The sequence below is a fragment of the Homo sapiens genome, chromosome 5 (genome assembly GCF_000001405.40).
Source record: "Homo sapiens chromosome 5, GRCh38.p14 Primary Assembly".
Taxonomy (NCBI): Eukaryota; Metazoa; Chordata; class Mammalia; order Primates; family Hominidae; genus Homo; species Homo sapiens.
Genome location: NC_000005.10, coordinates 135,945,223 through 135,955,194, shown reverse-complemented (window position 1 = coordinate 135,955,194; position 9,972 = coordinate 135,945,223). Strand labels below are relative to the sequence as shown.

Below are 9,972 nucleotides of genomic sequence, written 5' to 3'. Positions count from 1 at the left end.
AAATATTCCATCATTCGCACGAACATTCTCCTACAAGCCACAGCCCAGAAGACTGTCGATATGCACCTAGCCTTATCATTTTCTGTTAATATTTAGTCAGTATTTCCAATATAATTGGCTTCTTCTTCAGATCAAAGGCTTTTACATAGGCCCTACCTGCAAATCAAATAGCTATCCATGGAATATTAGAACTTGACTTGCTCCATCCTCTTAAACTTTTTGTGTCTCACACTAAAGAAATGAGAGATGCAGAATTCTAAGGCTAAATAGCTAGGAAGTATTCATTCAAACTTGAATATTCTTCAAAGAGAGTGTGGGGGCAACTCTAATCAGAGGAAGAAACTAAAGGAAGTAAAACCAGATGTTTTCCACCAAAGCCCTCCTTTTGGCTGGTCTGATTTCTACCGGTAAGTCGAAAGTGCAATTTTAGAATATTGATTAACTTTTAAAAACTGATTTCAGGGGAAGACTAAAAAGATTAAAAAGTCATTAATAGCATGATCACAACAAAGACTTGTGTATTTGGCTATTAAAAATGAAATAGGAATGACACATGGTCCTGAGGATGTTTTAAGTAATTTAAATGGAATGTTCCGGTTCTTTAATGAGGGAAACATAATAGTGGGTTGAGAAGACATTACAAAGCCTTTCAGTCTGAGTCTGGGTCTGGGACTTAACTAGAACAAAACTAGATAATAAAAAGTTGATATAAATATTTGATTCTGATTTTGATCAAAATCAAATTCTGATACAGATACTAATACAGAGACTGGTATGGATTAAGACAAAGGGATGGCTCCCTTAATACTCACCGAAGGAGGAAAAAGTGAATAAATTACTACACTGTCTGATATTTGCCTCAATTCCCAAGGATAAATATTAGTTGCCAAAGTGATGGGATTATATCTTGATCAAGGTGTTGATTTGGAGCTTGGCTCCAAGGCATAAAACTTTTGAAACCCACCTTTTAAAAGTATTTTAAAGAAGAGGCTTAATGGCCATATTCTGTAGGTTCTCTTCACAGGATAGGTATTAATGAAGAGTAAAATGTCTTTAAATAAAATCAATAGTCAAATTACCAGGCTCTCGCTTTTGCTTGTTTGTTTCAAAGTGCAAGGTTGAGTGTGCTCACTGTATCTCTCTGTGAATGTTAACACTGGAAATCCAGGACATTTAATTCCATTGAACATTTATTAAGTGCTTACTATAGTAAAGAAACAAATTGTGCCTGAAACAAAGTTTGCACCAAGTCTGCTGAGAAAGCAGCCCCTCCTCCACGTTTCATAATTTTTCATATAATTGGTTCTACTCCTTCTCCTACCTTCACCCCTAATCTCAGTCTAGGCTAAATTGGTTTGACATTTCAGATTATTTTTAAGAATCTCCCTCTTCCATGTTGGCAACTATGAGAGATTTATCTAGTGTTAAACAAACTTGGCTAGTACAGAGTTCGTTTCTCCTTTAATTCAAACATTTGCTTGGATTTGATTAGTGGAACTAACCATTTCAAAATTACAATTTCTAAAATTATTTTCTGAGCCATGCTATTTTATTATTTTTGCTTAATCTAAAAATAATGATCCCCATGGCAGATAATGAGCAAAGAAAAATAGAAAAGCACAACTTATACCATTTACTAATGGATCTGAAGCAAAGTATAATGATGGAGGCCAATGCTTATAAAGAAACACATTCAGCTGGGCGCAGTGGCTCACGCCTGTAATCCCTGCACTTTGGGAGGCTGAGGCAGGCAGATCACGAGGTCAAGAGATCAAGACCGTCCTGACCAACATGGTGAAACTCCGTCTCTACTAAAAATACAAAAATTAGCTGGGTGTGGTGGTGCGCACCTGTAGTCCCAGCTACTCAGGCGGCTGGGGAAGGAGAATCACTTGAACCCAGGAGATGGAGGTTGAAGTCAGCTGAGATCACGCCACTGTGCTCCAGCTTGGCAACAGAGTGAGACTCCGATCCAAAAAAAAAAAAAATTGTATTCACTGATACTCTAACGTCACAAAGCAGAATTCTGTGGCCAGGGAAAAAGCCAATTTTACATCTGAATCAGGAAATAAAATTCTGGAAGGACGATCTTCCCATAAATACATAAAGTCCAGGGAAAACTACAGTGAAAACAGAATTGTCAGGATCAACTGTGTGACTGATAAGGCAAATGGGGATAGGAAATGTCTGAGGCCAGGAGCTCTGCTCTCACTTTTCTCCTTTTTAGCACTGGCAGGGCCATGGGCTAATATATGTGCTGGCAAGTCTTCCAATGAGATCCGGACGTGTGACCGCCATGGCTGTGGACAGTACTCTGCTCAAAGGTATGAAGTTGCACAACCACCCACCCAACCCTTTGGTCCCTAACCTCTTTTCTTAGTGTCCTTGCCCAACGTTGGTTGCCTCAAGGGCTCACAGTTCTGACAGCATGAAAAACCAGAGATGTAACCAGTTACATCACTGTCTTTGGAGCAGCTTCCAAGAACTCTGCTTCAAGTATGAGCTATAAATTGGGATCAGAATGTGGAAGAAGGAAAAGATCAGGGAGCAAACACAATGTTTTCCTTCTGAATGTCTTCACACATTCACTTATCTCAACTGTTTTTTTCCAAAGGGTTATTAAACACAACTATCCCATTTTATAGAAGAGAAACTTTAACTGAGGTACCAAAGGGTTAAGGGACCTGCCAAGCACAGTTGGAGATGGTGAAGCCTGGACCTGAATTCAGGCTTTTGGTTCCTCTTCCCACCAAACCACGCGGTTACTGGCTCAGGCTCTGGATGTTGAATATTAGAGGCTGGCCCTAAGCAGGAGAGAAAGCACCACTATCTCTTCCAGAAAATGAGGGTCACACTTGTGAATTTTCAGTTATACCCAACATCACCTTGGGGTGCCACTTTCTAATGAAATAGCCATGTGTCCAGTCATATCACTGATCTCCATCCTAACTAGAGGGGAACTCTCACATATACAGATACTACTTACAAAGCAACCTCAAATACTGAAACAGGACTAAGAGAAGGGAAATATGGGAAACGTCCCTTGAATTGCCAAAATTCAGACTCAGCTTATACTGCAAAGTTTATGCACTTGATTGATACAGTAAATTCTTGGCTCTTGAGCTTGCTCAGTGTTGCTTTGTACATAATTGCAGCAATCCTGGTGAACCTGATCGTTCAGGTGACAGCCTATTAGAAGGTAGGGGAGGCTGGTGAGAGCAGGCATAGTGACAGCAGCGGGAAGCAAGAGCTGAGGGGTTGCTAAGACGAACTCAAGGCACGTCACAATCTAGAATAGTTTGATTTGGGCTCCATGCACTTTAATAAACCCAGGAGGTATCACTCATTGTATTAAAATACCATATACAGTAAGTGACGTTTACAATCACTTTTCTAGATCACTGCAAGAAAAATAAGACTAGGGTAACATGTGATACTTTTATGATAGGTTCCCATAAAAAGACAGCTGTTTTCAAAGTGGGCTTGAAGATGTCAAGATCTAGGTATCTAGAAAATGCACTTACATGGACTGCCTCATTCCCCCAACATGCCATAAAATAATAGTAGCTAATATTTGCTTAAGGCTTATTATGTACCAAGTACCATTTTAAATGCTTTCATCTTTATGATATGGTTATTAGCACCTGCGGGGAGGGAGGTTAAAATTGGGCTAAACAGAGTGAGGCATCCTGGGACATCCCAACATGTTCTGGCAGCTTCAAGCTTTGGTACCTCGTCTGCAAACAGTGGGCTAACACCATGTTCCCAGGCAGTAAAGCTCCCCTAAGGCAGTTCCTCAGTCTGTTCGTTCTTATTTACATCCTAGAAGTCAGAGGCCTCACCAGGGTGTGGACATCTTGTGCTCTGCTGGATCTACTGTGTACGCACCATTCACTGGAATGATTGTGGGCCAGGAGAAACCTTATCAAAACAAGAATGCTATCAATAATGGTGTTCGAATATCTGGAAGAGGTAAGAGAGGTGGAGTCTACACCTGGGGTGCCTCCTGGAGATGTTGATGCTCATTTATTTAATGCAGGTTCCATACGTAGAGATTTTGTACTTCTTTCAAAATGATAAAACCTGGAACAGAAAGAATATAGAGTGTACCCAAACTAGCTGATGCATTTTTTAAAAAACTTTTATTTTAGGTTCAGGGGTACATGTGCACATTTGTTATATAGGTAAACCACATGTCACAGACATTTGGTGTACAGATTATTTTGTCACCCAGGTAATAAGCATAGTACCCGATAGATATTTTTTTCTGATCCTCTCCCAGCTGAGGCACTTTCAAGGACGTTTCACCATTTTCTCTGAAAACTTCTGCTTCATGCACACACTTCACGAAACCCCACAGCTGATTGGAGGCATTCCTTCCTGTGGCCCATGTGGTTTTGCTTAACAATCTATAAACAAAGCCACTTTCAGCAATGCTAACCATAATGGATAGATACTTGCATTTACTCAAATCCCACAAATCATAAATGCTGGCACTTCTGCAAGAGTTGAATGTGAAATATTTTTGAAAGCTTCTAAGTTTTAGGTAAAGCTAGATCTCCTGGTACTCCAGGTATTGGTTTTGTTGTTTGGTTACTCCATCAAGGTATAAATACACACATAAAAGTGCACAACACATCCATGTATAGCTCCGTGAATTTCAAAAAGTGAACACACCTGTGTAATCAGCACCCAAATCAAGAAAAAGAACATCACCCACATCCCAGAGATCCCTTGTGCTACCACTTAGTCATTATTCCCAGCAAGATAATCACTATCTCAAGTTCTAACACCATGTATTAGTTCTTCCTGTTTCTAAAAATGGTATAAATAGAATTAAACAGCATGCACTCTTTGGGTCTTCTTTCATTCCACATCGTGATTATGCAGTTTATGTTTTTGTATCCACGTTCTTTCTGATGCATGATATTCCATTATATGCGTATACTTTCATCTATTTATCTATTCTTCCTCAGATGGACTTTTGGGCAGTTTCCAGTTTAAGATGATTATAAAATTGCTGCTACGAACTTCCTTATACCTTTTAATGAACATATATATGCATTCCTATTGGGAGTGAGTCCAGAGGAGACCCTCCTCACCAAGCCTGTGAGAGGCATCTTTTGAGCGAACCCACATCCTTGAGGAGCTACATAGTGGTTGTCCTCTGTAGGCCAATGTCACAAGGGAAACTTCTGCCATTGAACTGTGTCCTCTGTAGTGGCACTTAACAGTTAATGCCAAGGTCAGTGAGAGCAGAAGCAGTAATCAGATTCGTCTAAATCTCAGAGATTTGTGACACTGGCTAGTAATCATGGTGACTCAGGAACTGAATAGATGAGCAGCCAACTAAAGCCTTATTGGACTTGTATGAATGGAAATGCTCCAGGTCTGATGAACAAAATGCTGACTTCAGTCATCACAATAATGGGTCCCAATTCCCAATAAATTCCCAGGCTTGAATTGGTTCACAGTCCCAGAGCCTCTTGAACAAAAGGGAGGCTCAGTCCTTTTGCGTAAGGGTCCTGCTACGCAGCCAAACATTTATACTGTAAACCTTACTTCTAGCTGTCCCCAAAGGGACCTGCAACGGTTTAGCAGGATGACAGCACATTAGGGAAGAAATAATTAGGCTCTTCAGAGATTACTGGACACTTGCTCAAAACTGACACTAATTCCTGGAGATCTAAAAGGCCACTGTGGTTCACCAGTCAGACTAGGGGCTTAGAGTCAGGTGGTAAATATAGCTTTTCACTAGGGTCCATCTTACAGTGAGCCCAGTGCATCCTCCAATCTACCAAGAGGTTATTTCCCCAGTTCCAGAATGCATAATTGGAATTGACTTTCTTCTTCTTTCAGACTGCCTTGGCAATTCTTGGTTATTTGCATTTCCAAATAAATTACAGAATCTGTTTGCTAATTTCCACCAAAAATCCTGCTGGGGCTTTGACTGAATCTGCAGTAAATATACAGATCAAATTGAGAACTAATATTTTTAAAGTAGTGAGTCCTCCAATCAATGAACATATTATGTCCTCCACTTACTTAGGTCTTCCTTCACTGTTATATTAATGGTTGTTGTAGTTTTCAGTGTAGAGGTCTTGCACATCTTTTGTTTAATATTTATTCGTAAAACCTACCTGATGGAGTTTTAGCTCTTCTACAGCAGAACTATCCAATAGAAATATAACAGAAGTCATATATATAATTTTAAATTTTCGGCTGGGCACGGTGGCTCGTGCCTGTAATCCCAGCACTTTGGGAGGCCGAGGTGGATGGATCACGAGGTCAGGAGATCGAGACCATCCTGGCTAACACGGTGAAACCCCGTCTCTACTAAAAAATACAAAAAATTAGCCAGATGTGGTGGCGGGCGCCTGTAGTCCCTGCTACTCAGGAGGCTGAGGCAGGAGAATGGCGTGAACCCGGGAGGCGGAGCCTGCAGTGAGCCGAGATCGCGCCACTGCACTCCAGCCTGGGTGACACAGCAAGACTCCGTCTCAAAAAAATAATAATAATAATTATTATTATTATTATTTTAAATTTTCTAGTAGCCATGTTGAAGTAAAAAAACATGGTATTTTAGTATTTTATTTAACTCAATATTTTCAAAGTATTATATCAATATGTAATACAAAAATTATTGAGATATTTTACATTTTTAAATACTAAGTCTTCAAAATCCACTGTGTATTTTACCATTAAAGCACATCTCAATTCATATTAACTACCTTTCAAGTGCTGCATAACCACATGTGGCTAGTGGCTACCATATTGGACAGCATAATTTTACAGCCTTATTTTTATGCTCACTTGACCGGTTTGCAGTGCCACTAGTGTATCAAAGTCTCCTATTATTGGTGGGTTTCTATCTATGTTTCCTGGCATCTCTTGTAGTGTCTGCTTTATATAGATGACTTGTGCTATTTAGTGCATGGATAGTTGTAACTGTTATATCTTCATTGTGACTTGTGGCATTTACCCTCTTACATTATCTTCGTCTTGTTTCAATGCCTTTTGGCCTGATTTCCACTCTTCTGGTAACAGGACAATAGCCCTTGCTTTCTTATTGCTTGGCAAATCTTTGTCCATGTGCTTGGCAAATCTTTGTCCAGCTCTTCACTTTCAGCCTTTTCAATCGCTGTGTTTTATTCCATACAGCATTCAATTGGGGTTTGCTTTTCAACCCAATGGGACATCTTTTAATAGGCAAGATAAGGCCATTCACATTTATAGACATGACTCCTGTATTTGTACCCAACACCATTTTATTGTATAATTATTATATTGTACTCTATTTCTCTACTTGGGTCTTTGCCTTTTTAATTCTTTTGATATTTAGCAAAGTTTGTATTTTTGTTCCAGTTATTTCTATTTTTCTTTATCTCTAAAGTCCAATCATTCTATCAGAATATGTTTTGGAGTTGACATTGTTCAGGGCTCACCTTTTCTAACTAGCTAGTATTTTCCTGCTATTATTCTTCAATGCCTTTATTAGCGTTTCATTTGAATCTATTCTTCCTTTGGCATCTTGTAATTTAGTCTTCCTTTTTAATATCATTTTGTCATTTTCATCTATTCCTCTCCTGAGTTCATTCAACATTCTTTTTTTTATTTTTTGTCCATTTGTTATTTTTTTAATTTCAGATTCAAGATTACTGAAGCCCAGATAAATAATTATACTTATTTTCTTTTAGGTTTTTGTGTCAAAATGTTCTACATTAAGCCAATTAAGTATAAAGGTCCTATTAAGAAGGGAGAAAAACTTGGAACTCTATTGCCCTTGCAGAAAGTTTATCCTGGCATACAATCGCATGTGCACATTGAAAACTGTGACTCGAGTGACCCTACTGCATACCTGTAAATCGAAGGCCAATGGTCAGATCTTCAAAATAAAAAGTCATCTTAAAAACCTGGATGCATACCCTTCTCTTCAAGAAATTTGTGTTCACAAAGGAAAAATGCATGAAGGGATGGATACCCCATTTTCCATGACATGATTATTACACATTGCATGCCTGTATCAAAACATCTCACGTACCTCATAAACAAATACACCTATGTACCCACAAAAATTTTTTAATTAAAAAAAGGAAATTTGAGTTTAAATAGAAACATGATAAATGCAAGAAAGAAAACATTTTGATTTTAACTCATTGTCACTCTGATGTTCATGTGAACTGGTTGCTTCGGGCTCTTTGATCTGTCACCTATGGAATCTGAGTGGTTTTATTTTTTAGATTTCTCAGTCCCGAAGATCTAAGATAAATAAACAAGAGAACTTACGCTGGGCCAGGCTGCATTTTTGACACCTCTAAAACTAGCAACCTTTCTGCTTGAAAATAAGAAAAAGCCTGAAAGTGTTTCTATGGTACAAGAACAGTGAGTGGTTTATAATGCTAGATTTAGTATACATTTAATACATATTCAATGAATAAGTTGAGTTTAGGTAGTAGACTCTCAGCAATATCCTTAGGTTTATCATATTGGTTGGAGAGAGAGCTGCTTTCATGGATAATAAAGGATTTGCTGGTATTTCCATCCACTCACCCACATGATTATGAATGATGGCAGTCCAAGAAAACATATCCCAAGAAAACAGTGAGGCTGCACTACAGGAAGGACTAGAGTGAGAATGAGGCCTACCTTTATCTGAAGTGTCTCATGGAATTGGGCCTGTCAACTTCATCTAGCCATATGCATATTACAGCTACTTATTTCTACACATCATTGTATTATATCTATGTTATTCTGTCTTAGTTATATTGACAACAGGTACTATGAGGAAACAAGACCATACAAATGTCCAAAGGACCAGAAATAATTCTGGCTCCTTAGAGTTTAGCCAGTTGGTAAGAAATGAATACATTGAACTAATCATTCTGGAAACTTCATGAATTTCTGCTTAAATTTGTTCGGAATGCAGAAAATGCCAGCAGAATGATTATATTCTTATGTGTAGATTGTTAGAGGAAAACATAATTAACTGAAGTTTATTGTTAGAGAAATGGCTGCATTTGTGTATCAGGGCATATGTATGAGAATGTTCATGATATCACTATTTTTCATAGCAAAACCTTCAGTGACCTAAATGCCCATCAACAGTGAAATCCAATAAATAATCTCAAAGTTATAGAATGTAATAGTCAACAGCAGTCACAATAAATGAACTTCAGCTAAACATAATGACCTGAATGAATCATGGCAATATAATTTTAAGTTTTAAAAAGTCCAGAAGATTACATAATGGATGATAATTCTTTTTATAACATTAAAACAGTTAAAATACAATTTCCTTTTTATATAACAAAATCATATACGAAGGCGAGCAAGAAAATAATGAACTCTAGTTAACTCATAACTAGATAGAGAGAACCACACAGAAAGATATAAGTTACTATCAGTGCTGTAGTTTTGCAGTTGGGAGGTGATTTCATGGGTATTTATTATTATGAATAACATGTCACAGAAGCAACAGGACTTGCAGTGGGTGGCCAGGAAGAAAGAGTTATCATGATGACTCTCAGGTAATTGAGAATCTATGTCACACATTTAGCACCTTCTTATATCTATTAGGTTGGTGCAAAAGTAATCACGGTTTTTGCTATTACTTTCAATGGCAAACTATATCTAGCACTGTCTGATTTGAATATGCATCTCCTTGGTACCAAATAACTTTAGGTTGTTTCCAGAAATTTGGCTTTCAAAAAATAAATGCTGTACACCACTGAGGACACACAAAAAGGAAATAGCACATCAGCTCTTAAAGGCAATTTTAAAAGAAACTCTGAAATATTTGCACAATAAAATATAAGCTTAGTTTTCCAAATAATCATCCTTCTGATTATTTAGGAGGCAAAACACAGGTGGATATGGATATTGTTTTAAAAACCAGACTCATGACCTGGAATGGAGAAATTCCTCAAGGTAGAGCAGGGACATTGCCTTCCCCTCAGCCTTCTCACATCTGCT

The 9,972-nt window shown here is 38.2% G+C and overlaps 1 protein-coding gene across 1 annotated transcript; it reads left to right on the top strand.

Moving 5' to 3' along the window:
• Window positions 1-211: 211 nt before the first annotated feature.
• LECT2 (leukocyte cell derived chemotaxin 2) lies at window positions 212-8,291 on the top strand. Its single transcript, NM_002302.3, has 4 exons — window positions 212-407; window positions 2,228-2,324; window positions 3,827-3,972; window positions 7,698-8,291. The coding sequence occupies exons 1-4, from the start codon at window positions 362-364 to the stop codon at window positions 7,862-7,864; spliced, it is 456 nt and encodes a 151-aa protein (NP_002293.2). The 5' UTR covers window positions 212-361; the 3' UTR covers window positions 7,865-8,291.
• Window positions 8,292-9,972: the final 1,681 nt, after the last annotated feature.

Coding starts and splice junctions, on each gene's coding strand:
- LECT2 (NM_002302.3), top strand. CDS start 362: ATGTTTTCCACCAAAGCCCTCCTTTTGGCTGGTCTGATTTCTACCG. Junction 2,325..3,826: donor GGACAGTACTCTGCTCAAAG/GTATGAAGTTGC, acceptor TTTACATCCTAG/AAGTCAGAGGCCTCACCAGG. Junction 3,973..7,697: donor TGTTCGAATATCTGGAAGAG/GTAAGAGAGGTG, acceptor ATTTTCTTTTAG/GTTTTTGTGTCAAAATGTTC.